A 27,664-nucleotide genomic window follows, 5' to 3' on the forward strand; every position below is an offset into this window, starting at 1 on the left:
ATTCATTCATTCATTCATTCATTCATTCATCTATTCATTTGCACACAGTCAAAGGTGCAATTTCTCCTCTGTACCAGGCCATGTGCTAGGTATTTGGGAGGGAAGTGCAAGCCGGACACAAGCCAGCACTGAAGATAGTGTCAGAAGAAAGACAGCCATGAACACACATGACCATATGACACATGGTGGGGTGGGGCGGCAGGGCAAAGAGGACATCGGGGAAATCAACATGCCACCAGCTACCACTTGTAGGGGGTTCTCCTGTGGCCAGCTCTGAGCTAAGGTCTTCCTGCACAGAATCTCACTGGATTCCCTCAACAGTCCTTCCAGGTTTGTAGATGCTTCTGCAAAAGTAACAGACAGATGGATGTCCCGAGGCTTGGGGAAGTAACACGCAGATGATTTGCACAAGGACACGCTTTAAGAAGCAGTGGACTTGGAAGTCCAACACAGATCTGTCTGGCTCTGGGCTCAAACCAGCTATGGTTATTGCAGCCACTTCCACCTGCATCCCCATCAAGCAGTCAGGGAAGGCTGCATGGAGGAGGCCCTGCGTCAGCTGAGGCTTGAAGGAGGCCTAGGAGTTTATAGGAAGGTAAATTGGAGTAGGAGGCTTTCTGGAAGTAAGAAAAGTCACGTGCACTATTAGCAAAGTAGGCCTGGGCCGGCACTGCTTCCTCTTTCTGCTTCTCTGTTTCCTGATGACATCAACATAAATAGGAAACGTGGGAGGCTCACTCTGCCTAGAGGCTCCAGAAGAAGACTGGTCTCTCCCACCACACAGAGGTATGGCCCGGCGTCCAGGAGCAGGGCTGAGGGGTGGGGTCAGAGCAGGGGGGAATGTGGGGAGTCCAGGATGAAAAAGGACAGGGGGAGCCTGGGGGGCGTCCTGTGGGTAGCTGTGCCCTGGGGACTTGGAGGAGTTAGGGCTTGGCCTCTTAGGATGACCTGAGCCCAGACTCCTAGGGCGGCCAGTGGATGGGGAGGCAGCCAGGGGTGCCAAGCTGCTTGGGTGTTGTAGGAGAGCTCTGGGGAGGACTCAGCCTCGCTAGCGGGATCTGGTTGGTCCTGGTGGGAAGGACGCCTAGTGGGGTGAAGAGAGCTCAGGCCTGGGAGTCAGGCACCTATAGTCTGTCTTCGCTTTGTCACTAAGATGCTGGTGGTAGTGAGAGCACCCCCTGTCCACCCTGGGCTTCTGTCTCCTCATCTGTGGAATGGGGAGCATGGATAGTCCCTGACATCTTGGTTTAGAAAGAGAGAGAACGCATGCTCGTGTGTTTGCCCGTGTGTGCATTTGTGTGTGTGCCTGTGTGTGTATGTGCATGTGCGGATGTCTGGGGATGCAGGAGTGCAGAGAGACTAAGAGGCAGAGGGTGAAACCTGGAAGCTTGCTGCGCTGAGGCCCAGAGCTGGGTGCGGTGTGGCTTGAGAAGCTCACTTTGAACTTGAGAAAGAGCCCAGCACTTTGCCCAGAGACATACCAGGCACTATCCAGCAATCTCTCTCTCTCTCTCTCTCTCTCTCAGTCTCTCTCTCTGTCTGTCTGTCTTTTTAGTTATGACACTCTGCCCTGCTGATTTGGGTTGCTGATTTGGGTTGGGGCCCAGGTGTGTGTGTTCTGTACCCAAGTATGCTGGCTGGGTGGGTGGGTATCTGGGGTGCCTGCTTCAGGGTGTGTGCAGGTGTGTGTACTGGCCCTGAGAATGAAAGGGCAGGTGTTTCACTGGGACCTTGTCAGACAGGTGCTAGCGACAAGCTGCATATGTGCAATTTTTAGTCTTCAAAAACCCTGCTGTTATATTTTTGTACAGCCCAATTCTAATTTTTTTCTATCATCTTTCCTGCTTTGTAATCATTTTATAATGAGTAAACATTTCCTATTAGCTTTTGGTCACTCTTTTTTTCATCCAGCAGTTTTATTTATATTGTTCCAGTATACAGATATACCAACACCACAGGATAATTCATGAGTTGTATAAGGAATGTATTTAATGCTAAACAAGCAACTACACAGAAACCTACCTTCATGAAAATTAGAATAATCTAGAATTATGTAGCACAAGAGACAAAGTCCCCAGCAATTTCTTTTCCCTAGTTCCATAGCTTATTCTTTTCACCACATGTATTCTTCCAGAACATTTTCTAAGCATGATACAAGCATATAGTTTTTCTTTTCCTGTTTGTTTTTTGTTTTGTTTTGTTTTGTTTTTGTGACAGAGTTTTACTCTTGTCGCCCAGGCTGGAATGCAGTGGTGCAATCTTGGCTCACTGCAACCTCTGCCTCCCGGGTTCAGGTGATTCTCCTGCCTCAGCCTCCTGAGTAGCCGGGATTACAGGCATGAGCCACCACACGTGGCTAATTTTTGTATTTTTAGTAGAGACAGGGTTTCACCATATTGGCCAGGCTGGTCTCGAACTCCTGACCTCAGATGATCCGCCTGTCTCAGCCTCCCAAAATGCTGGGATTACAGGCTTGAGCCACTGTGCCAGGATGGTAGTTTTTCTTTTTACAGAAATGGGATTATTTTATTTATATATATATATATATATTCCTAATTTTTTCACTTAATATTGTATTTTGGAATATTTCCAAATTTCTACAATAATACATACAGATTTAACTCGTTAAGTAACCCTAAGAAATATGTGGCATTTATTAGGATGGGTACACCACAATTCATCTAATCTCACGTTGATCGACACCTAGATTGTTTCTAATTTTTCCACATCTGTGAAAGTGTTTCTGTAGCCTAAATTACTAAATGCAGAATTGCTGTGCAGAGGTTGTGCGTTAGAAATTATAATAGGTATTGTCAAATCAGCCTCAAAGTAGCTGAGCTAAGCTGACGTCCCCAAGGTAGTGCATAAAGGGTCCAATTTACCTTTAGAGAAATTATCAATCTTCTAATTTTGTCCAATATTATGTATGGAAATTCTCAATGTCGCGTGATTTTTTTCTTTCCCTGATTATGGGTGAAGTTGTACATTTTCTATATGTGGATTGGCCTTTTGGATTTCATTTATGATGAATGTGGAGAAATTTTTGTTCATCTCCTGTTGAATTCTCTTTTACATCTTAACTTTTGGAGTGACTCATTTATTACGTGTATTAATAATCCATTTATATATGTTGAAAATATATTCTCCCAGGTTATGACTTATCTTTTTCTTTACCATGTTTAAGATGTCTTATGTCATATAAAAATGTTTTCATTGTTAAGTCAAACCTGTCATTACTTTTTACTTTATGGTTTCTGATTTTGGTGTCTTGTAAACCTCTAAGATCACAGGTGTCTTGTAAACCTCTTTTTACTTTATGGTTTCTGGTTTGGTGTCTTGAAACCTCTAAGATTACAGAAAGAGTTTTAATAATTTTACTATTTTGGTTTTGACTTTGAGATTTTTAGCCCACCTAGAATTTAGAGAAGTGAGTAATGTGTAAAGTAACTTTTAAAAATAATTACCATCTAATTGTCTTAACATTGCTAATTATGAGTGTGTGATTTCTCCTCTCTTCAATGATTTGAAGTGCCCCTATTACATCCTAGGCTTCTATACATACTTCGTTATTTTCTTTATTGTTTTCTCTTCCATTTGGCTGTCACTACATTCCTTATTATTTTTCTAACGAATGGAGCAAGTCTCTCATCTCTGGTTTGTTATAATTTAGAATCAGTTTGCCAAGGCCAGGCACAGTGGCTCATGCCTATAATCCCAGCACTTTGGGAGGCTGAGGCAGGCAGATCCCTTGAAGTTGGACGTTCAAGACCAGCCTGGCCAACACGGTGAAACCCCATGTCTACTAAAAATACGAAAAATTAGCCGGGTTTGGTGGTGTGCACCTGTAATCCCAGCTACTTGGGATGCTGAAGTGGGAGAACTGCTTGAACCCAGGAGGCAAAGTTTGCAGTGAGCCGAGATCACGCCACTGCACTCCAGCCTGGGCAACAGAGTGAGACTCCAACTCAAAAATAAAAATAAAAATCAGTTTGCCAAGCCCATTAAATTCCTTTTTGGAATTTTCATGTTGATTGCATTGAATTTAGAGATGATCTGAGGGACATTGACCACTGGAAGTAAAGACAATAGTGAGAGCCTCCTGTGTGAGGCTTTGACAGGAGGACACTAACGTGCCCCCTTGACTCTGTCATCGCCTTTGGTTTCTGGCAGACTTTCAGTGATGCCAACGTTTCCGCCACTGCTTCATTTGCCAGGGTTTGTTTGTTCATTTAACCAGAAATGTCTTGTTTATTATTAAATATTTAGGAGTGTCTGTCAAGATCAGCTTATCCTTTTTTCCCTTTTAATCCGTTCATCTGTTTGTTTGAATCATAAATAGGTTTCTTAAGGGTTCTCCTTCCATGTATGGAGTACCCTCTACTTGGCCATGATGTCTTCTTCTTTTAAAAGTCTTTGTCAGGTTGACCTATGAAATTGTTTTTGTCTGGAGTGAATTTGTATTTTGCTTTTCCCCCCTAGTTTTTATCCCTGCCATTCAATTTCTTCATAAGCTTGGGAATGTTTATCCCTGCCATTCAATTTCTTCATGAGCTTGGGAATGTAATATGTGCATGTTTATTTTGAGTAAGAAGGTGTTTGGTTTTTCTCTTCTCTTTTCTCTCTCTTCCTTTCTCTGTCCCTCCCATCCCTTCTCTGTCATCCTCCTGTCCCCATGCTTACTCTTCATTCTTAGTGATTTTTAATCTTTATGTTTTTAGGGATTTAAAATGTATTGAACTTATATTTTCTGGGTCGGGCACAGTGGCTCACGCCTGTAATCCCAGCACTTTGGGAGGCCAAGGTGGGCAGATCACTTGAGGCCAGGAGTTGAGACCAACCTGGCCAACATGGTGAAACCCAGCCTCTACTAAAGATACAAAAACTAGCCAGGCGTGGTGGTGCATGCCTGTAGTCCCAGCTACTTGGGAGGCTAAGTCACAAGAGTCGCTTGAACCCCGGAGGCAGAGATTGCAGTGAGCCGAGATCATGCCATTGCACTCCAGCCTGGGTGATGGGGTGAGATTCTGTCTCAAAAAAAAAAAATAGTATTTTTTTTAAAGAAACCATATTTGCTACCAGCATTTGGGTTTATTTAGCACATATATGATCTTCCAAAACAAGAGGAGATCTTTAGCAAGTTTTCAGTTCTCTTCCATTCTCCACCCCAGCCTCACAGCAAACTCCCACATTAAAATCATCTGAGTTTTAGTTCAATATTCTTCTTTAACTTATCTGTAAGTGTTACAGGTTTATTTACCTCAGTATTTCAGCTTTCTTGGATTTTTTTTTCCTGAAATATAACCTAGAGTAATTTCTTTCAGAAAAGATCTGAAAAACTTTCTTTGTCCTTACATACTCAAAATTTTTTGTGTCCTTTAAATGTCAAAGAAAACTTGGCATTTTGTGATTCTAGGTTTAAGCATAATTTTCCCTTGGTATTTTCAAGACATCTATTTAAAGTTCAGAGTCTCTTATGTGAAATCTTTAGCCAATCTGACCCTTGTTGCATTCAAAGTATCCTATTTGTTTTCTTCTGGAAGCATTTCTGGGATCATCCTCATATTCTTGCAAGACGAAAAGTTTACCAGTGAGAACTAGGCATGGCTTTATTAAAAGGAATCTTGGGAGTTAACCCTGATCTCTGTCCCCTACTACAAAACCTCATCGTAGTAGCCTCCCCCCTTGAATACAGATTCCTTACTGTCTTTGAAAAATATTTTAAAAAGGAGTCTTGTTCTTTATTGAGTGGCCTCTTGTCTCCTTGAAAGCCCTGTGAAGCTTTCCCCATTTGCTGTTGTATCTGTTTGGCTGCACATGGAAAATCCCTAAGCAACAGAGGCTTAACAACATAGAAGTTTCTTTTTCCCAGCATATAAAAGATGCCCAGAGGTAGCAGTTTCAGGCTAGTATGGTTGCTCCAGAGTGAGAGTGGGAATCCAGCTTCCTCTCTTTCTGTTGCATCATCTTCACATATGGCTTCCATCCTCAAGGTAACCTCATGGTCCAAAATAGCTGCTGAAGCTCCAGCTATCACCTCCAAGTTGCAGGCTGGAAGAAGGAAGAAAGACAGAGGGACAAAAATGAACCCCTCCCACCTAAGTCAACTGCCATTGAGCAGCCTTTTTTGGAAGACATACACAATGTTTCTATTCTCATCTCCTTGGATCACGTTTAGTCACTTGACTGCACCTAGTGGCAACGGAGTATAGGAAGGAAATAGACCTTTTTATTCTGTGTAGCAATAAACTCAGCTAAAACCTTGGCTTCTGTTGCCAGGAGGAAAGGGACACGGTCTTCCATTGTCTTTCAGACTAGGTAGCTGACATTGTCTGCCATACCTGCTCTTAATTCTCTCCACCCCCTGCTTCTGAATGCTGGAATTTTTGAATTTCTTTCCCAAACCTAAAGTTTTCTCTAAGACTTTTCATCTCCTTGACTATTTGCTCTATTTTATATATCTATCTTTTTCATTTGTGGTATCCATTCTGTGGTTTGGCCCACTATTGATTGTTGTTGTTTTTTTGTTTGTTTGTTTTTTTGAGACAGAGTCTCAGGCTGGAGTGCCATGGCAACGGTCTCAGCTCACTGCAACCTCCACCTCCCAGGTTCAAGCAATTCTCCTGCCTCAGCCTCCAGAATAGTTGGGATTACAGACGTGCGCCACCATGGCCAGCTATTTTTTTTTTTTTTTGCGTTTTTAGTAAAGACGGGGTTCTACCACGTTGGCCAGGCTGGTCTCAAACTCCTGACCTCAAGTGATCTGCCCACCTTGGCCTCCCAAAGTGCTGGGATTACAGGCGTGAGCCACCGCGCCCAGGCTTTGATTGATTTTTTTTTAAATTATGGATCTCATATCTTCAAATTCCAAGAACTCTGTTCTTTGCATAGAAGTGTCTTCTTTTAAATGGCTATGATTCTCAAATCTCCCTGAGGATGCTGATTTAGATGTCTTAATGTACTCTTTTATTTTTGCTGTATCTGTACATGTCTGTAGAAGTGTCTGCTGGGTTAGCATATGTCAGAATAGATGTGCGCTGTTTTGACATTTGGGAAACTGAATCACTATTGGCATAGAGGTCAGGGACAGAGTCTAGAGGCAGCCCACTGCGGGCTCGAATCTCAACCTGTTCCTTACCAACCGTGTGACTGTCGACCAATTACATAACATCCCACCCCTGTTTTCTCATCTACGAAGTGGAGCTTCTAGTGGTAACCTATACATAGATGTATTCATATCCGTAAAACCTTTTGAATAATGCCTGGCTCATGGAAAACACTGCAATATTGTCAGCCACTATCATGAATTCTCTCTGTGTATGTGAGTATTGTTTGTGCTCTTTGATGATATTGATTTGTTTTAACCTTTTAAAGTAAAAGACACTAACCTGTCCTCCATAATTCTGGTTGGTATGGTCTATATGTTGAAGTGCACCCAAGTTTATGTTGCAACCTAATCCCCAATGTGAGAATATCTGGAGGTAGTGCCTGTGGCACCCTATAAAATACCCCAGCGAGCTCCCTTGCTTATTCCATGTGAGATTATAGGGAGAAGACTGCAAGGAACAGGCCCTCACCAGATAGTGAATCTGCCCGCACCTTGATCTTGAACTTCCCAGCCTCCAGAACTATGAGAAATAAACTTTGTTACTAGTAAGCCACTCCATCTATGGTATGTTGTTACAGTAGCCTAACGGATGAGTACATTGGTGCAAAGATTTTCTGTTTGCACTCCGTCCTTTCCTTTTATGGTTCAGTCAGTTTGACAAATTACAGAAGATTTCACTTTTATGTACTTCTGCCAGCCTTTGTCTCTGTGATGTCTCCTATGCTTTTAAGCTTAAAGAGTTCAAAGGCATTCACTCCTCTGGTTTGCAGCTTTCATAGGATGTAACATTTTACATTTAAATTTATAATTAACTTGTTATTTGGGGAATGGTGTAAAATGGGGTTTTAGATAGGCATTTTTATGTTGTTAATCAATGATTTTAGCATTTTTTTAAATTTAATATTTCATCGCTTCACATTGATTCCTGATTCCTTCTCAGTCTGGGGTCAAGTAGAGTTTGTTTCCAGCCAGCATGTCCATTGATAGATTCTGTGTGTGTGTATGTGTGTCTGTGCATGTATCTGTATGTGTGTGTGTATGTCTGTGTGTAGGTGGTATATGCGAGTGTGTATGTGTGTGTGTGTTGTGCATGTATGTGTATGTGTGTCTGTGTATGTGTGCCTCTGTGTGTGAATTTCTGTGTATGTGTGAATGTGTGTGCATGTTTGTGTGTATATGTGTATATATGTGTATATACATGTATGTATCTGTGTTGTTCATGTGTGTATGTGTGTCTGTGTCTCTGTGTGTGTGTTTGTATGTGTGTGTGCATGTTTGTGTGTGTATATGTGTGTATATTGTATGTATCTGTGTGTGTCTGTGTCTGCCTCTGTGTGTGTGTCTGTGTGTGCATTTGTGTGTATACATGTGGGTATGTGTGTGCATGTTTTGTGTGTACGTGTATATATGTATGTATCTGTGTGTGTCTGTGTGTTGTGCGTGTGTGTGCCTGCGTGTGTCCGTGTGCTTGTGTGTGTGTGTGTGTTTGCATGGGCATCTTGAGTGAAGCTTCCAACAATCTAACAGAAGAAAAGGAGCCACACTTGTCTGTTCTGCTCTCTTGGGTACTTCCCAGACCAGTGAAATGAAAGGGAGGAAACCCCCGGCCTCCGAGGAGAAAAGGGAACTGGCAAGCAGAGGGTGGGGGGATGACGGTAAAAGGAGCAGGGGTGGGGAGAGCACAGGCCCTGTGGAAGTGAGGACATGTGTGTGTACATGTGTTCATGTCCAGGGGATGACACTGTGGCATCCAACAGCCGTGGACCAGCAGCCCACGGGGAGCTTAGTAGGAGTCAAATCCTAGGCCCCTGTCTCAGCTGCTCTGCTGTCTAGCGCATTGTGCAGTGGTAGGTGTCAGTGATCCAAGTGGGGACCCAGTCCCTCAGGCCACACAGCGCATGTCCATTGCCTTCATGCCGCAGGAGACTGAGAGGTCATGCATGAGGGCCACTTCTCTGGGTTGTCCCCACAACACGGGCGGTGTCCCTGGGACACGTGGAAGGGGAGGGGCAGCTCACTGCTGACATCTCCTTCTGCAGGCCTGGAGGAGGCAGAGGCCAGGAGGGAGAGGTCCCAAGAGCCTGTGAAATGGGTCTGGCCTGGCTCCCAGCTGGGCAGGAACACAGGACTTCAGGACACTAAGGACCCTGTCATGCCCATGGCCAGCACCCACCAGTGCTGGTGCCTGCCTGTCCAGAGCTGACCAGGGAGATGGTGCTGGCCCAGGGGCTGCTCTCCATGGCCCTGCTGGCCCTGTGCTGGGAGCGCAGCCTGGCAGGGGCAGAAGGTGAGTCCCGTGGCTCCCACCCACTTCCCTGTCCCTGTCCTCACTGCTGCACCCTGGGGGAGGGCCGCAGCGTATCCTCAGGATCCTGCCCGCCAGCCCTCCTCCTGCTCCCCTCCCTCTGTCTCTCCCCCTGGCCTTCCCTGGGCCTCCCCCGCTTCCCTCCTCCTGCACATTCCTGCTCATCCTGTCTTGGAAAGTCCAGCTGAGCGTGTCTGGCTTCCTTGCCCACATTTCTCAGGGCGGCACTCCCGGCCCCTAGGCTCCAGGATGGCTGCTCTGGCCGTTTCCCTGCCCCTCCTTCCCCAGCAGACACTCTCTGTGCCTCAGTGGTTCCCACCTCCGGGACTTTGCTCCTGCAGGGCCTTGGCTGGGGTTCTCTCCCTGCTTCAGCCGCTAGCACCCTCCTTGTGCCTGAAGCCCGCACTGGGATGCTCCTGGGCTCTTGAGGTGAAATGGCCCCTCCCAAGGGCTCCCAGAGACCTGGCTTCTGTGATAATGCTGGGACCACAGTCCCCTTAACAAATACCAGGCTCCTGAGGACGGGGACTAGAGAGGAGGTGGGAGGTTGCAGGGTAGAACTCTGCCACGCTGCATCCCAGGGCTGAGTGTGTGCCCCCTCCCAGGCTGCACAGTCGGTCCAGGGGCCAGGCCTGTGCTTGATGCATGTCCCTGTCCTGGGGTGGGGGGAGGGGACCGTGCCCAGGAACAGCACACTGCGGAGGCCCAGAAACCATGCTGAGAACCAACAGAATGTCTTGCTTCTGCCAGGAGAGGAGGGTCCGCAACCAGGAGCCCACCCCGGCAGACATGAACACATGTACATGTGCCTGGCCACCTGGTGCCTCTGCAGGGACCTGGGAGACCCCTCCCCAGAGCGGGACATCCCAAAGCAGCTGGGGGTGATGGTGACAAGGGTCCCTGCAGGAAAGAGAGGTGACCCCCTTCTACCCCTCTTGTCAGAAACCATCCCGCTGCAGACCCTGCGCTGCTACAACGACTACACCAGCCACATCACCTGCAGGTGGGCAGACACCCAGGATGCCCAGCGGCTCGTCAACGTGACCCTCATTCGCCGGGTGAATGAGTGAGTGATGCTGGGGGCAGGGGCCACGGGCAGGGGCTACGACGTCCCCTGTGCCTGGCATGGGGCGACAGTGTAGAGAGGGACCTGTCAGGTCAGCCTCGGGGTGGGAGTGGACAGAGGACAGAGGAGGAGGGAGGCCCTGCAAGAGCTCCTGCTCCGCCAGGCACCTGCGAGGCCGGGTGCTGCCGTCTGACCTGGGGTTTCTGCGGAGTGCCTCCTACACTGATGTTGGTGACAATGGTGGTGGTGGCAATGGTGAAAATCTTCTCTTGTTTCATCACAATTTAACACAATTGCCCCACATGACCTATCTTAGTTCCTCCTCACTGTGAGGTGGGCAGGGCCAGGCCACGAAGCCCCAGCTGTGCCACTGCCTGCCTGTCCAGAGTAGACCAAGGAGAGATGGCGCTAGCCTGGGAGTTCACAGATGGGAAAACTGAGGCCCTGGAGGTGAGGTGCCAGCCCTGGCCACGGGGTAGACAGTGGCAGAGCAAGCTGTGTGGACGTGTCTGGGAGGGGGCTCCGCGCTCTCCCAGGCCCCCCCTCCGTATGTGGGCTGCCACCTCTCCCACCCAAGCTCTCCTGGGCACGTGCCACAAGGGAAGGGGACCAGAATCGCTCTGGGGTGTTGGCCAGGGTCTAAATCAGCCATAAATTAAGTAATTAAATAGCTGGAACCAGAGAGGCAGATGACAACCCATTGGAGGTCACCCCAGCGTTGGGGGGCGGGGCCGGCTCTGCCACCCCCACCCCTCCACCGCCTTCAGTTCTCCAGGGCGTCTCTGTCGGACCTTCTCCATTCTCCTCAAAGACCATCCTGCCCCTCCCTGTGACCTGCTTCCTGCTGCTCTGACACAACAGGGGACCAGGGAGAAGCTCCCCACCCACCCCACACTCACACTCCCCACCCCCTTTGCCCACCGCCGGGGCCTGGGCCTGGACCAGGGCTCCTGTCTGAGGCCTGAGACACGATGCTGTCTGGTCCTGTTGCTCAGGAACATCACGGCCCCCAAGTCCCCACTCTGCCCTGTGCCACCCACCATGCCCTCTCCCAGGATCTTTCCCAATTGCCTTGCAAACCTGCCCCAACCCCCTCTCAGATGCCCACAGGAGTGCAGCGCCTGGGCATCTCCTGACCTGGCAACCCTGCGGCCCCTCTTTCTCTGCTTCCTTTGACAGCAGCATTCCCTAAAGAGTTGTCCACATTCACCACGTCCAGTGTCTTTCCAGCCATTTCCTCCTGGGCCCACTCCCCTAGGATGCTGCCCCCACCAGGCCACCCAAACTGCTCTGGTCCAAGTCAGCAAATGTCCCAGGGAGCAGGATCTCATGGTTGGGCCTCCGCCTTCTTCCTACTTGACCAGGGGCAGCCCCTGACAAGGAGGACCACCGCGGCCTCCCTGCAGTTTCTCTTGCACCTGACTCTGCCCACAGCTCACCCAGTGCCCCCGGGGCCCTGCCCATCCTCCTCTTTCTCCTTGTCTGCTGCCTCCTGATGGCAAGACACCCAGGCCCAGTCCATGGACCTCCTCTCTGCTGTATCCACTCTGCAGAGACCCCCTCAGGCCCCTGGGGCATCTCCCAAAGGTGACCTCAAGCCCACAATTCCCCTAAGCTCCAGCCCTCCAGGCGTACTGGCCTCTCCACCTGTCACTTAGACAACAGGTGTCTCCGACTCCAAACGTCCTCAACCAAAGTCCCGCTCTCACCCGAGCTGCGCTGCTGCCTCTGTCTTCCCCATCTCCCTTTCTAAATGGGAGCTCCTAGTGGCTCAAACTAAACAACAGGGAGGATTTTGTTTTGTTTTTAAGTCTCTTTTGTCACCATTCCTTCCTGACTGCTACATCCCTCCACCAGCAAATGCTGCCAACCTTATCTCAAGCAGAACATGAATCTCACCCACGCCAGCCTGACCACCCTGTTGCACGCCACTTCCTGTCACCTGAATATTCCAGAAGCCTCGTAACTGGGCTCCCTGCTTCCAACATTGCCACATTCCCACCTCAGTCTATTCGCAACCGAGGACCCTCAGGAATCCTTTCAAAGCATTTATCAAAATCTACAACACCTCTGCTCATGACTGTTTCCCACTCACTCGCAGTGAGATCCAATCCCATCATGTAGATGGATGGGTCTCCTAGACCTCCCTATCACACGCTCTACTCCCTGCGCACTGGTTTTAGGCCAAGCCACGCAGCACACCAAACTCTGCCTGTCCCAGGGCCTTTGCACGTGCTGTTCCCATTTCCTGAAATCCTCACAATTTGCACAGTCCCTCCCTCAATGCCTTTAACATTCTGCCCCCAGGTCACCTCCTTAGAGAAGCCTGCTTGTCCCATATTTCAAATTGCCTCCCTGGCCCAGCCCTTCCTCCCTCCTCACCTGCTTCTTGCTTTATTTTTCCACATGAAGTTCTCTCCACTGCACACGCTACACACTTTGTTCCATGCGGGTCCCCTTCTCCCAGGATGGCAGCTCCGTGGGCAGGATTTTTGTGTGTTTTATCACTGCTGGCCCCTGATTCTGAACAGAGCCAGGCATGTGGTGAGCACTCGAGGAACCTTTCGTGAGTCAGTGATACCCATACACCCTGGGCTAAGCCGTGTCCTCTCCCAACAGGGACCTCCTGGAGCCAGTGTCCTGTGACCTCAGTGATGACATGCCCTGGTCAGCCTGCCCCCATCCCCGCTGCGTGCCCAGGAGATGTGTCATTCCCTGCCAGAGTTTTGTCGTCACTGACGTTGACTACTTCTCATTCCAACCAGACAGGCCTCTGGGCACCCGGCTCACCGTCACTCTGACCCAGCATGGTGAGGGGCTGGGGGCCCTGCCCGGGGCTTGGTTTCCTGTGTGGACAGCGGGGGCACCAGGGGTGGTCCAGGGAGTCTTCAAGGCAGAAGGCTGTGGCTTGGGGTTGGGTGAGGGTTTCTTGAGGGATGAGGGTATGGTCTGGTTACATGGAGACTTCAGAGCAGAGGGGCCCCTGACAAAGGCTTCTCCTGTGCCCCTGGCTGCTACCACCTCCCACTAAGCCATGGGCTTCCAGCACTGCAGGCTTGTCTTGAAGAAAACCGTTCTCACCACTCACTTAGAAACCTACCAAGTTAGAAAACTCTGTCCGCTTAGTTGTTTCATCTCATCTCTGAAGCAACCCATTTCCTGGATGTGGCCCTTGAGGCCCAGGAGGTCAGATGCCTCCTCTGAAGTCCCACAGCTGAGCAGTAATGACAGAGATGGGGTCAGCCTTCCCGGGGGCTTCCTGCATGGTAGACAGGGAGCTTGTCTCCTCGCTGCCCTGGAGGAGGGGCCCCGGTGTGGGCCGAAATCCCACAGTGGTCCATGAAGCCATCTGTGGTCTAGGGTGGGGTAGATGATTATTTTATGTAGTTAGGTTTTATTTGCCTCTATATTAGAAAGAAATATAACCTGCACTTCGAAGTCCTGGATTCAAGGAAATGGTTGCTTAGAATGAAGCTAAACCTGAAAAGGGACACGTTTTATGAAAGTTTTCGTTGACGTGGCAAAAACCCATGCTGGTGGCAGGCTGGTAGGAGGTACTGCAGGCTGTCATTGGGAGTCTCAGAACCACGGCAGGCTTGGTGCTGTTATTGGTGCCTTTGGCTGCTGCTGAAACGGAGACAGAGGGAGGTGACTAGTCCAAGGCCTCTCTACTGCTGCTGGCAGAGCTGAGATCCAGTGCAGGATGGTCTGAGTCCCCGGTCCTAACCACCGAACCACCTGGTGCTCTTTGCAAGGGTCACACGGAAGGGGCTCTGACCATGGCTTCCTGCCCTTTTTTGCCACAACATCATAAAGCCACTGCCAGAGGAGGGGATCAGTTAGGCCACCAGGAGTCCATCAGAAGCAACATTTCCACACATGGGTTTGATGGACACGAGAGTCCCTTCCTTCCCGAATGGAGCTCAGGGGGCCCAGGCTGGAGGGAGGGGAAACACTGTATGCCGTCCACCGTGAGAACTTACTGACAGTGGCGGGTGGGTGCCTCATGCAGGGGGTAAAGGGCAGGGCCCCTGGGAGATCAGAACAGGCTTCCCAGAGGGAAGAGCTTTGCAACTCAGATCTGAAGGGTAGACAGGAGGGGAGGGCAGTAAGAGCCTCTCTGGCAGGGTAACAGCTGTGCAGAGGCTGGGGGATCAGAAGGGCATGGGCAGCTGGGGAACCTGCTCACCATTGTGTCCAGGGAGCATCAGCTTCAAGGGCTGGACAGCGGTGGGAAGAAGCAGGAGACACAGGTAAGGACCTGTCCCTGGAGAGGCTTCTGTCTCCTGCAGTCTCAGGTAGAGGGGACCCTCTAGGCATGGAGAGCACTGAGGGGAAATGACATGATCAGATGTGGATGTGAGAATGCTGGGGACAGGGGACTTACAGGGTAGATTGGAGGAGCATTAGTTGGGAAAGAAGTTGAAATTCAGGCTGTGGCCTAAAGCACTCATTCCTAGAAATGATGAGGACACAACTGGCTAGGAGATGGGGACATGAGGGCATGCAAATCATAGTTCAGATATACACACAATTCATTCATTCAACCTTCTTTCCTTGAGCGCCTACATAAGCCAACGAAGCAGTCAACAAACCAGCCAGCAACCCTGCCCTTGGAGCTTACAGCCTGGAAACAAGGAAGGTTTCTAAGGCGATGGAGACAACTTAGATATAGGGAGAGAAGTGTGGCCCTTGGCCTCCTGGAGCCTGTGTTGAGTAGCGAGGTAGGGTCCAGCCTAATGCAGATTAGCAATGAATCAAGGATGCTGGGAGGTACTGGGCAGGCGACAGGCATGCATCTGATCTGCTCTGAGTCTCCATGTTTGGAGACCTTGGACATTTTACTTCCTCTATGAGTTTCTCCGTCTGTGAAATGAGCTGGTGGACTCAAGAGGTTTCTCTTGAGTTGGCTGAGCAGGTTTCTGATGGGGCTCCCAGTCTGCGCAGTTTGTGGCAGCTTCCGAGAGGGCTCTGCCGGGAAGAGCTCCCCCTCCATGACAGCCTCGGGGGCTGGGAGTGCAGTGACCCATGAGGGACGCCTGTCCTGGCTGTGGGTGAGGAGGGGCGGTTCCCCTGCTGTGTGTCTGCCGTTCTGGGTTGATGGTTCCTGACATGCTCTAGCATGCCATAACCCATGTCCAGCAGAGAGCACTTACATCCTATGTGTGAGGATGTTTTCGTTTGAAAGCCATCCCTCAGCAAGCAGACACCAGAAACCAGAAATCAGGTGCCGTGTCTTCATTCTGCATTTTCTTGAACAACCCAGAGTTCCCAGGAGATAGATGCTTGCCTTGTGGCTGCAAGGATTTCATGAGAAGCCCCAAAGTTGCTTACGCGTATTTGTTCATTCATTCACTCATTCACCTTGCCCCATAATTCACTGAGAAGCCGCATCTCAGCCTGGAGGTAGGGAAGGGGGTCAGGACCAATCCCACCCACCCCCATCTCCTCACACCTTAGGGGAGGCAGACACAGAAGCATAGGAATCCCTCAGCTGTGGTAAGGCCCTGGTGGAGGGAATTCCACTGAGCTATGGTGAAATGAGAGAAGGAATGAGGGATTCCGCCTGGAGATGCAGATCCGAGGATGTTCCTAGAGCCGGAGGCATTTGCCCGGGGCACTGACAACAGGAAGGACCCTGGGCAGGAGGAAGGGAGCTTGGACAGCAGGAGGGGGGAGGCCGCTGAACCGCAGGCCCCTCTGCTAGCAGGAGCCACCCAGGCCGCAGCGTGGGCAGTGGGGAGCCTCAGGACAGAGGAGGCTCCAATGAGTTTCCTCGCCAGCGCTTTTTATGGAGTTCGGGTCACGTGCGCATTGCAATCTGCACGGCTTTCCATTGCTTTCATGTTGAAACCCTACAGTTTTGCAGATGAAGGGCTGAGGCTCACAGAGGAGACGGGTCTTGCTCAAGGTCCCTCAGCTGCTGGGGGCAGGGGTGGCCTGGAACCCCCTGTGTCCACACAAAAGGCCATGCAGGCCCTGACTGCCCCCCAGCGGTCCAGCCCTTAGGTGCCCTTCACTTCCTCCCCTCCAGTCCAGCCTCCTGAGCCCAGGGACCTGCAGATCAGCACCGACCAGGACCACTTCCTGCTGACCTGGAGTGTGGCCCTTGGGAGTCCCCAGAGCCACTGGTTGTCCCCAGGGGATCTGGAGTTTGAGGTGGTCTACAAGCGGCTTCAGGACTCTTGGGAGGTAGGAACCACGGCCAGCTCTGCCCCAGCCCGAAGGGATGGGCAGCACCCCTCCTCCAGCACCCACTGTCTCCTGACAGGACGCAGCCATCCTCCTCTCCAACACCTCCCAGGCCACCCTGGGGCCAGAGCACCTCATGCCCAGCAGCACCTACGTGGCCCGAGTACGGACCCGCCTGGCCCCAGGTTCTCGGCTCTCAGGACGTCCCAGCAAGTGGAGCCCAGAGGTTTGCTGGGACTCCCAGCCAGGTAATGTTGCCAGAGCCCAGGAAATGCCCCGTGGTGGGAGGGCAGGCTCATCAGGAGCTCCTGGCACAGCAGGGTTCCTGGGCTCCACCTGGGGGCTTCCCAGATCTCCTGCTGCCATCTTTCCAGTAGCGTCCCTGGGCCGTCCCACCTCTACTGTGACCACTGACCAGTAGGACTCTGCATCTGTTCACTTTGGGTTTCCAGTTTTCTGCACGTTCTCTGCCAATGGCAATTACAATAATAACAACAACAGTGCTATTAGCAGCTGTGTGTTAATGGAGGCTACAGGATGCTCAGGGCTTACCCACATTTTTCAGTTCAATCCCCAAACACTGAAACTTAGATACTATTTCCATTCTCCCGGGAGGGCGTGCAGGTGCACAGAACTCTCTCTCTCTCTCTCGGAGCTGTTGGACACACAGCTGGCAGGTTCAGGCTGAAGTTTCAGCCCTGGTCTTTTGGCCCCAGAGCTCATGACCTCTGTGTGATGAATCACACGGTGGGCACCCACTGAGAGCTATGGGAGGGATGAATGACGGAGTACATGAGGACCTGTCTCCAACCCAGGGGATGAGGCCCAGCCCCAGAACCTGGAGTGCTTCTTTGACGGGGCCGCCGTGCTCAGCTGCTCCTGGGAGGTGAGGAAGGAGGTGGCCAGCTCGGTCTCCTTTGGCCTATTCTACAAGCCCAGCCCAGATGCAGGGTGAGCATCTTTTTTCTCCATCCCCTCCCCTCCTCTTGGCCTTGCTCTCTCCAAGCTTCCTCCTGTCCCTGGGGCCCCAGCAGAAGCCACAGCCCACCCTAAGCTCTCCTCCCTCCCGTGTGCCCTCCCTCTCCCTGCCCTCAGCTCTGCTGTGCTCCTCAGGGAGGAAGAGTGCTCCCCAGTGCTGAGGGAGGGGCTCGGCAGCCTCCACACCAGGCACCACTGCCAGATTCCCGTGCCCGACCCCGCGACCCACGGCCAATACATCGTCTCTGTTCAGCCAAGGAGGGCAGAGAAACACATAAAGAGCTCAGTGAACAGTGAGTTTGCTCCTAGCCCGCTGTGGGGATGGTCTGGGACCAGCACACCCTCATTGTGTAACCCGAATCAGTTCAGGGTTCCTCCTGGCCCCGTCTTCATGTTTGTCACTTTCAAAGAGATGCAGTCCAGTGACCAAAAGTGAACAGAGAAGCAATGAAACCACGACGGCAGTGGCCAAAAACAGGAGCAGATCTTTAAAACCTCTGATCTCTTGTCCTTTTCTTCTGCTTCCCTCTCCCATCCTGCAGCTCTCTAAATCTCCACTGCTAGCCACACCCTCCTGGTCCTGTCACCAAAACCTTCCCTTTCATTCCTCATTGGATTTTCCTCTTTCTGATATCCGAAATTCCCCACCGACTGATATTCTATCTTTAATGTAATTGATCTATGATGTACTTTTCAACTGGAGCCTGTGGTGTGTACAAATAGTGTTGATCCTTGGAGGTTAACATCCCTCGTTTCTGTGATGTAACAAGGACCCCAGTGCAATGGAACCTCTCACGTTGTTTCATGATGACCAAGTTCTTCCATCCAGTCTTTAGCATATGTGAAGGGCAGAGGCCAATTTGTCTTAATTACCTGGGTTTGAATTTACCATTAACTCTCTTGGGATCCTCACTGGAAAAAGGAATTCTGATTGTTCAAAAGCACAGGATATATTAAGGGCCTCATATAATGCCTGGCACATAAGAGACCTCAGCAAATTACGGGCATTCATATTATGTTTATACAGTGAAGGCATCAAGGTTATAAGCATTCTCTTTTTTCTTTTGGGTAGACTGAAGCTCAGAGAGGTTGAGTGGCTTACTTAAAGCTGCACAGCTATTAGTAGGCAGATCAAGATTAGAGTTCAGAACTTCTCACTCCCTGCCCAGTTTCTGCTTTCTTTACCCTTTGCCTCTTTCAAGTTGTGGGTCTGCCGGCCAGGTGGGAGGTGCTGTCTGCAAAGGGCTTCCCTTTCTCTTTGGCCACTATCTGGCTGGGGAGAGGCCTCACCTAGATGTTGTTGAAGGCCTGTTACAGCCGCTTTATTGGGGATTTTCTGGCGATGAGAACGTGTGAATGTCCTGGCCTTTAGTCAACTCCCTACACCTCTGAGAGTGTCAGACAAGAGAGCCCATCACACTGGTGGGATTGCAATCTTTGCCTCTACCACTGCTTAGCTGCCTTTCCTTAGGGCAAGTTACTTAATGGTTCTGTGACTCAGTTTCCCTGTTTGTGAAAAGTGAAGGTTAATAGTACCCACCATATAGGGCTGTTAGAATGGAGTGGAATAATTCATGTAGAATAAGTATGTATAACAGTGGCTAAAACATAGTCAGGCTGGGCGCGGTGGCTCACGCCTGTAATCCCAGCACTTTGGGAGGCCAAGGCATGTGGATCACGTGAGGTCAGGAGCTCAAGACCAGCCTGGCCAACATGGTGAAACCCCGTCTCCACTGAAAATACAAAAATTAGCTGGGCTTGGTGGCGGGTGCCTGTAATCCCAGCTACTCGGGAGGCTGAGGCAGGAGAATCACTTGAACCCAGGAGGCAGAGGTTGCAGTTAGCCAAGATCACACCACTGCACTCCAGCCTGGGCAACAGAGTGAGACTCCGTCTCAAAAAAAAAAAAAAAAAAAATAGCCAGTTGCCTAGAATAGAACCAACTAACAGTGGTTTTATTTTTACTGCAAAAAATAAAAATAAAAATAGGAGTAGTGCAAGCACTGGGCCACATCACTACAAAACAAGTGTATCTCAGCATCTCCCACGAGAATACCACTCAGGTCAAAACATGATATAGTGAAGTGGGGATGAAAAGGATCCAACCATGGGCAGAACCTGGGGTCTGGTGCCAGTGGAGACAGCCCCAGTGTCTAGCATGAGACACGGGGAATGTTCCGTTGGAGGGTGGGTATGATGACTCTCCTGAAAGCTTCCCTCCCTCCAGTCCAGATGGCCCCTCCATCCCTCAACGTGACCAAGGATGGAGACAGCTACAGCCTGCGCTGGGAAACAATGAAAATGCGATACGAACACATAGACCACACATTTGAGATCCAGTACAGGAAAGACACGGCCACGTGGAAGGTGAGGGCCTTTGCCCAGGGAGGGGAGAAACACTGGGGAGGGCGGGAGAAGGGAAAGCAACCAGAGGCATTCCACCTGCAAGGCGTCGGGCCCTTGGCAGGTGACCAGTGAGAGGTAGCCACTGGGACGTGGTGATCACTAGGCTGTGTGGTCAGCAGGTCACTGTCCTGTCTCTTGGTGAAGTAACTGAGGTTTGGAAAAGTGGCGTGGCTTGGCCAACGTGAACAGCTGACCCTGAGTCCCCAGGCAACAGAAGACCCTCTGGGCAGGGAGGGGTTGAAAGGCCACTGGGAAGAAGGTTTTCAAAAGTCATGAAAGTTTGGGGTTATTTCCTCAGAGGAATCTCATCTGGACACACATGGAGGCTCAGACAGAGCTGCTTCTAATGAGTCGGGGGTGCGCCCAGGCCAGGGCTCGGTCCCCTGCCTCCACAGAGCCCAGAACAGAAACCACAGAACCAACCCCACACCTTCAGTCTAGAAATGGGGCAACTGAGGCTAGGAGGGAGGTGGGCCAGTGGTGGAGCCAGGAGCGGGCCCTGGGGTCCTGAACCCCCATTCTCAGGGTCCAGAGTCCAGTCGGCCTGCACTGCGTTCCTAAAAAGGCCACAATATGGGTGCAAGCTGCCCCAGAAGGGCTGGGAGCTGAGAAGGCTCAAAATAGGGTGGGACAGGTGGCTTCAGGGTTCTGGGCCTCAGTGTTGTCAATGTCAGGGGCTGCACTGACAGGTGGAGTCCCCGGTGCCATCCGAAGTGCTGTCCGTGGGTGGGCCCTCAGGGAGGATCCACGGTGGTGAGAGAGAAGCCGCAGCAGGCCTGGGGTATGGCAGGAGCTAGGAGCCAGCGAAGCCGAGGGTCCAGGTGGGAGGGATTTGCAGCTGCTCCCACGGGCACCGGGCCAGGCCTCACCCTCAGTGCCAACCCACAGGACAGCAAGACCGAGACCCTCCAGAACGCCCACAGCATGGCCCTGCCAGCCCTGGAGCCCTCCACCAGGTACTGGGCCAGGGTGAGGGTCAGGACCTCCCGCACCGGCTACAACGGGATCTGGAGCGAGTGGAGTGAGGCGCGCTCCTGGGACACCGAGTCGGGTAGGTGAAGGCTGGAGTCCAGAGCTTCTGGCCAGGACCAGCTCATAGTTTCTCACTGCCAGAAAATCCCCAATGCAGCAGCCGTAGCAGGCCTGCAACAACTTGTAGGTGAGCCGTCTCCCCGATTAGATGGTGGCCAAAGAGAAAGGGAAGGCCTTTGCAGAGAGCACCTCCCACCTGGTCATCAGACCCGCAAGTTGAAAGAGGCAAAGAGTAAAGCAGGCAGAAACTGGGCGTGGAGTCAGAAGTTCTCCACCCACTCTTCATGAGACAGCACAGCTGGGCAGAGGATGCCACATCTCTGGGTGGGCACAGAGATGTGGGGCTCCAGACCCCACTCCACTCAGGCCTCCTTCCCTCCCTTGGACCACTAGTCGTTGGAAAGTGACACCTGGTGTTCAGTACAGACTGCAAGTGAGGACTTGAGGGAGCAGAGGAGAGCAGGTCTCATGATCGCTCCTCCTTTAAACTGGGACTTAGGCTTCTGTTAATATGGCCCTTGGTTTCTTAGCTTTTGGGACTACCAAGTTTTTGTGGTTGCTCAGCCCGAGTTTCCTGTTACCATGGAAGCAAGAAAATCTAGAGCCACAGACTGGGTCCTTGGATTGGAAGGTTTTGCTGTGATTCCTTCATCTTCCCACCTCCCTGCACTTGCTGCGTGCACTGACCCCTCACCTTTCACCACAGTGACCACCAGGCGACTCCCGCAGAACAAGACAAGTCCAAGGGGTGGTTTCAGAGAGAGTAAGGATACAGGAGATATTGGGAGCAACCCAAGTCCCCAGCCAGGCTTGGTAGCGGCAGGGGCCCAGGGAGAGGGCCACAACCAGGTAGAAAGGAGGCCGGACCAATGGGCCCAAGAGAGGAGGAAGAGGGGAGTCCTGGAGGAACCTGGCCTGGGAGCTCAGGGCTGGGCAGCAGGTGGGATCAGGGGCCTCTGGAGGGGCCTTTGCTCCTGCTGGTGCCTCTGCCACTATGCCTTTCCCCATCTCCACCTCTAATCCTTCCTATTACTGGAGGCCCAGCTAATATGCCACCTCCTTCAGGAAGTCCCCTGTGATTGCCATGAACAGTGGTTCTTGCCCTCCCTGTAGCACCTCCTGTGCTATAGATCCTGGAAAGGATCTGACCCTCCTGTGTCCTCCCAGCACTTTGAACACTGTGGGGGTTCAGACCAATGCCCTTCCCAGCATGGATCTGGCCTCTCTCCCCTAATCCCCCAAGGCAGTAAGTTCCAGAGCCCTGGGCCTGCACAGAGCGGGGTCTTAAGGAATACTGCACCAACCCCACTCCCTGCCCTGAGGTCGATTTCCCGCCCAGATGCTGACATTCCTCTTTCTCCCCGGCTGCTGGAAGTGCTGCCTATGTGGGTGCTGGCCCTCATCGTGATCTTCCTCACCATCGCTGTGCTCCTGGCCCTCCGCTTCTGTGGCATCTACGGGTACAGGTGAGGGGACTCTGTGGGGCTGGAGGTGGCAGCCGAGACCCCAGAGGGCACTGGGGAATCCCACCCAGCTCCCTCCAGGCCCTGCTCTGCCGCTCCCTTCCTGGGCCTCAGTTTCCCCTCTGGGCATGAGCATGGGAGCAGCTGGCCATGAGGTCTCTGATGGCTGTCACCTCCGTGGTGTCTTCCAGGCTGCGCAGAAAGTGGGAGGAGAAGATCCCCAACCCCAGCAAGAGCCACCTGTTCCAGGTAGGAACTGGCTGCGAGGGGCGGAGTGGGGGCTTCTCTGTTCCTGCCTCTCTTGTCTCTGTCCCCACCTCCTCCTTCCCTTCCTGTGGGCTTTGGGTGGTAGGGATGTAGGTGGACTGGGCTTTGGGAGCTTTGGGAGTGGGGCCAGCACTTGGAAATTCATTCCCGGGATTCCCTGGAGTGCCCACACCTGGCCCTGCCTGCCAGAGCTCTGCATGGAGCCCAGTGGAGAGAACTGAGTGTGGGGATGCCTGGGACAGGGTGGGCTCACAGAGGGGGTTCCTGCTACCAGGATGGATGGGGTGTCAGGAGGCAGAAGGGCTCCCCAAGGACAAGATACCTGGGCTGAGCTTTGAGGGTCCCAGTGGTGCCAGGTGGCAAAAGTTGCTCTGGCTCAGGGCATCTTGAGGGTGGAGACAGAAACCCTTCAGGAAGGGAGCTGAAGGGGTGGGACAGGAGGCTGGGGGCCATGTTGGGAGGCTGAGATGACCATGGGGAAGACACCAGCGTGTGGGTGATGGGAGCCCTATAGTCAGGCAGGCAGGGCCAGCTTTGCCTGTGGAGGGGTCTCTTGGCTGGTGTGGAGGAGAAATGGGGGTGAGCATGGAGACAGGCACTCCAGGTTAGAAAAATCACAGGAAAAGGGCCCTGTCCTCAGGTAGCAGGGACATGGGGGAAGTCCCCGCCCCTCTCTGGGCCTCACTTTGCTGGTGTCAAAAGGCCGTGGCCAGTCCTGAAGAAGTGGAGATTCTTCTCTTGTCTGGGGGCTCCTTGAATCCTCCTGCACCCCCGTCACCCTCTGCCTTGCCCCCACCTCGGACCTCCTGATGCTCACCGGCCCAAATGTCTCTGCTCTTGCAGAACGGGAGCGCAGAGCTTTGGCCCCCAGGCAGCATGTCGGCCTTCACTAGCGGGAGTCCCCCACACCAGGGGCCGTGGGGCAGCCGCTTCCCTGAGCTGGAGGGGTGAGTGGGCTCGTGGATCACTCCTGACCTTTGGGGTTCATACGGGGGGCTGACTCCATTGTGGAAATCAGGGACTCAAGTGAGGCTGCCTGTGGCTCACTGTGAAGGGATCCAAGGGAGCTGGTTTGCACTAAAGCAGGAGGCACCTGGGGGGGATGTGAGGAAGAACTTCCTCTTTCCAGGTAAGGAAGTGCCAGACAAGGGGAGTGACCGGAAGTGAAAGAGGGAAACAGTTGGCCTTCCCCTCCCTGGCTGCCTCAGAGGCGTCACACTGCAGAGGCCTCATGGGGTAGCTGGGGCTGCAGACTCCCGGGAACTCGGCGCCTGAGCCGGCAGCTGACCACCAACTCGGCAGGGAGAAGGGGGTGGCATGGTTGATAGAATGATGGAAGGGTTGCCCAGTGCACAGGCTGGGCATGAGCCTGGTGCTGAAGGAGGATGGACTTTAAGGTCAAAAGGGAGAGGGTACCAGCCTTGCAGAGGAAGACCTTGAGCTCAGCATGGAGGATGGAGCTCCTGAGCCACGGAAAGACTGAATCCATGTCCCATGTCCTTCTCTGGGGCCCCTGCTCCCTCAACCCTGTCCCGTTCAGGTTCTCTCTGTGAGATCTGGGGGACATCAGGGCTTCCAGAGAACCATCTCCACCCCACCAAGACCCTTGTGCCTGACCCGGATCATCTGCCCAGGGTGGTCCCAACTCTTCTGCCCATTTTCTTCCCACAGGGTGTTCCCTGTAGGATTCGGGGACAGCGAGGTGTCACCTCTCACCATAGAGGACCCCAAGCATGTCTGTGATCCACCATCTGGGCCTGACACGACTCCAGCTGCCTCAGATCTACCCACAGAGCAGCCCCCCAGCCCCCAGCCAGGCCCGCCTGCCGCCTCCCACACACCTGAGAAACAGGCTTCCAGCTTTGACTTCAATGGGCCCTACCTGGGGCCGCCCCACAGCCGCTCCCTACCTGACATCCTGGGCCAGCCGGAGCCCCCACAGGAGGGTGGGAGCCAGAAGTCCCCACCTCCAGGGTCCCTGGAGTACCTGTGTCTGCCTGCTGGGGGGCAGGTGCAACTGGTCCCTCTGGCCCAGGCGATGGGACCAGGACAGGCCGTGGAAGTGGAGAGAAGGCCGAGCCAGGGGGCTGCAGGGAGTCCCTCCCTGGAGTCCGGGGGAGGCCCTGCCCCTCCTGCTCTTGGGCCAAGGGTGGGAGGACAGGACCAAAAGGACAGCCCTGTGGCTATACCCATGAGCTCTGGGGACACTGAGGACCCTGGAGTGGCCTCTGGTTATGTCTCCTCTGCAGACCTGGTATTCACCCCAAACTCAGGGGCCTCGTCTGTCTCCCTAGTTCCCTCTCTGGGCCTCCCCTCAGACCAGACCCCCAGCTTATGTCCTGGGCTGGCCAGTGGACCCCCTGGAGCCCCAGGCCCTGTGAAGTCAGGGTTTGAGGGCTATGTGGAGCTCCCTCCAATTGAGGGCCGGTCCCCCAGGTCACCAAGGAACAATCCTGTCCCCCCTGAGGCCAAAAGCCCTGTCCTGAACCCAGGGGAACGCCCGGCAGATGTGTCCCCAACATCCCCACAGCCCGAGGGCCTCCTTGTCCTGCAGCAAGTGGGCGACTATTGCTTCCTCCCCGGCCTGGGGCCCGGCCCTCTCTCGCTCCGGAGTAAACCTTCTTCCCCGGGACCCGGTCCTGAGATCAAGAACCTAGACCAGGCTTTTCAAGTCAAGAAGCCCCCAGGCCAGGCTGTGCCCCAGGTGCCCGTCATTCAGCTCTTCAAAGCCCTGAAGCAGCAGGACTACCTGTCTCTGCCCCCTTGGGAGGTCAACAAGCCTGGGGAGGTGTGTTGAGACCCCCAGGCCTAGACAGGCAAGGGGATGGAGAGGGCTTGCCTTCCCTCCCGCCTGACCTTCCTCAGTCATTTCTGCAAAGCCAAGGGGCAGCCTCCTGTCAAGGTAGCTAGAGGCCTGGGAAAGGAGATAGCCTTGCTCCGGCCCCCTTGACCTTCAGCAAATCACTTCTCTCCCTGCGCTCACACAGACACACACACACACACGTACATGCACACATTTTTCCTGTCAGGTTAACTTATTTGTAGGTTCTGCATTATTAGAACTTTCTAGATATACTCATTCCATCTCCCCCTCATTTTTTTAATCAGGTTTCCTTGCTTTTGCCATTTTTCTTCCTTCTTTTTTCACTGATTTATTATGAGAGTGGGGCTGAGGTCTGAGCTGAGCCTTATCAGACTGAGATGCGGCTGGTTGTGTTGAGGACTTGTGTGGGCTGCCTGTCCCCGGCAGTCGCTGATGCACATGACATGATTCTCATCTGGGTGCAGAGGTGGGAGGCACCAGGTGGGCACCCGTGGGGGTTAGGGCTTGGAAGAGTGGCACAGGACTGGGCACGCTCAGTGAGGCTCAGGGAATTCAGACTAGCCTCGATTGTCACTCCGAGAAATGGGCATGGTATTGGGGGTCGGGGGGGCGGTGCAAGGGACGCACATGAGAGACTGTTTGGGAGCTTCTGGGGAGCCCTGCTAGTTGTCTCAGTGATGTCTGTGGGACCTCCAGTCCCTTGAGACCCCACGTCATGTAGAGAAGTTAACGGCCCAAGTGGTGGGCAGGCTGGCGGGACCTGGGGAACATCAGGAGAGGAGTCCAGAGCCCACGTCTACTGCGGAAAAGTCAGGGGAAACTGCCAAACAAAGGAAAATGCCCCAAAGGCATATATGCTTTAGGGCCTTTGGTCCAAATGGCCCGGGTGGCCACTCTTCCAGATAGACCAGGCAACTCTCCCTCCCACCGGCCACAGATGAGGGGCTGCTGATCTATGCCTGGGCCTGCACCAGGGATTATGGTTCTTTTAAATCTTTGCCTTTCAGATACAGGAAAAATAATGGCATTAAATTGCTTTAATTTGCATTATTTTAGTTATCCAGTTTGCACATATTTTTATAGGTATCTTAGGCATCGATTGGTATTTTTTAACTGGGCCAAGCCCATTAAGGTCTTTCTTCTGTTGGGTGCTATCATTTTCTGATTAAGTCTTTTTGACTATTGACATACAGTCTTTCACAGATGGTGGAGTGTTTTTCCCCCAAATCTGTTGTTTGTCTTATAATGTTGTATATGAGGTTTTATGGTGTATGAATATGAATGCTTCTGTAATGTCAAACAGATCCCTAGTAAACTCCTTCTTCACTTTTACTGTCAGATTTACAAAGGTCCTCCCATTGCAAAGCAGTGTTTGTCCTAATTTATATATTGTTTTTCTAGTTCATTTTGTGTTTCCAACTTTTCATGTAAAATTTTAATTATTTTTGAATGTGTGGATGTGAGACTGAGGTGCCTTTTGGTACTGAAATTCTTTTTCCATGTACCTGAAGTGTTACTTTTGTGATATAGGAAATCCTTGTATATATACTTTATTGGTCCCTAGGCTTCCTATTTTGTTACCTTGCTTTCTCTATGGCATCCACCATTTTGATTGTTCTACTTTTATGATATGTTTTCATAAGTGGTTAAGCAAGTATTCTCGTTACTTTTGCTCTTAAATCCCTATTCATTACAGCAATGTTGGTGGTCAAAGAAAATGATAAACAACTTGAATGTTCAATGGTCCTGAAATACATAACAACATTTTAGTACATTGTAAAGTAGAATCCTCTGTTCATAATGAACAAGATGAACCAATGTGGATTAGAAAGAAGTCCGAGATATTAATTCCAAAATATCCAGACATTGTTAAAGGGAAAAAATTGCAATAAAATATTTGTAACATAAAACAAAGTGAAACCCTGAATTTGTGTGTGCATGTTGGTGTAGTTGGAGGAAGGGGTTGCTCTTTGAAACCTCAATTGCTATTGTAAGTGATACAGCTCCAGTGACTGGAGGAACACCA

At 51.9% G+C, this 27,664-nt stretch overlaps 1 protein-coding gene and 1 long non-coding RNA gene across 8 annotated transcripts, besides 3 other annotated features; one reads left to right on the forward strand and one right to left on the reverse strand.

Moving 5' to 3' along the window:
* On the forward strand, positions 737-27,548 carry CSF2RB (colony stimulating factor 2 receptor subunit beta). Of its 7 annotated transcripts, none has more exons than XM_011529903.3 (14): positions 737-786; positions 9,145-9,392; positions 10,353-10,476; positions 13,096-13,286; positions 16,511-16,668; positions 16,748-16,916; positions 17,484-17,619; positions 17,764-17,939; positions 19,874-20,013; positions 20,941-21,103; positions 22,424-22,550; positions 22,739-22,796; positions 23,658-23,761; positions 24,486-27,548. In XM_011529903.3, exons 2-14 carry the CDS (start codon positions 9,317-9,319, stop codon positions 25,609-25,611), a joined length of 2,748 nt encoding a protein of 915 aa, XP_011528205.1. In that variant the 5' UTR covers positions 737-786; positions 9,145-9,316; the 3' UTR covers positions 25,612-27,548. The 7 variants fall into 7 exon arrangements, with proteins under 7 accessions (XP_011528205.1, NP_001397756.1, XP_011528206.1 ...); NM_001410827.1 differs by having other exon boundaries at positions 22,460-22,550; XM_011529904.3 differs by having other exon boundaries at positions 17,782-17,939.
* On the reverse strand, positions 5,581-13,052 carry LOC105373023 (uncharacterized). The gene is made up of 2 exons (XR_938230.2): positions 12,859-13,052; positions 5,581-6,048 (listed from the first exon to the last, which is right to left on the reverse strand). It is a non-coding gene; the product is annotated as an uncharacterized LOC105373023 (long non-coding RNA).
* Positions 8,598-8,977: an enhancer, noted in NCBI's record as "active region_18942". NCBI's record gives its function as "activates an Ori minimal core promoter by ATAC-STARR-seq in GM12878 lymphoblastoid cells {active_cell/tissue: GM12878}" and the evidence as "EXISTENCE:reporter gene assay evidence [ECO:0000049][PMID:35858748]".
* Positions 9,397-9,967: an enhancer, noted in NCBI's record as "H3K4me1 hESC enhancer chr22:37318330-37318900 (GRCh37/hg19 assembly coordinates)". NCBI's record gives its function as "activates a minimal SCP1, AML or CMV promoter by ChIP-STARR-seq in primed H9 embryonic stem cells {active_cell/tissue: H9 hESC(primed)}" and the evidence as "EXISTENCE:reporter gene assay evidence [ECO:0000049][PMID:30033119]".
* Positions 12,613-13,812: an enhancer, noted in NCBI's record as "BRD4-independent group 4 enhancer chr22:37321546-37322745 (GRCh37/hg19 assembly coordinates)". NCBI's record gives its function as "activates an origin of replication core promoter dependent on BRD2, P300/CBP, MED14 and CDK7 cofactors, and independent of BRD4, by STARR-seq in HCT116 cells {active_cell/tissue: HCT116}" and the evidence as "EXISTENCE:reporter gene assay evidence [ECO:0000049][PMID:35650434]".

The sequence above is a fragment of the Homo sapiens genome, chromosome 22 (genome assembly GCF_000001405.40).
Source record: "Homo sapiens chromosome 22, GRCh38.p14 Primary Assembly".
NCBI classification, from domain to species: domain Eukaryota; kingdom Metazoa; phylum Chordata; class Mammalia; order Primates; family Hominidae; genus Homo; species Homo sapiens.

Coding starts and splice junctions, on each gene's coding strand:
- CSF2RB (XM_011529903.3), top strand. CDS start 9,317: ATGGTGCTGGCCCAGGGGCTGCTCTCCATGGCCCTGCTGGCCCTGTGC. Junction 17,940..19,873: donor CATAAAGAGCTCAGTGAACA/GTGAGTTTGCTC, acceptor CCCTCCCTCCAG/TCCAGATGGCCCCTCCATCC. Junction 22,797..23,657: donor GCAAGAGCCACCTGTTCCAG/GTAGGAACTGGC, acceptor CTGCTCTTGCAG/AACGGGAGCGCAGAGCTTTG.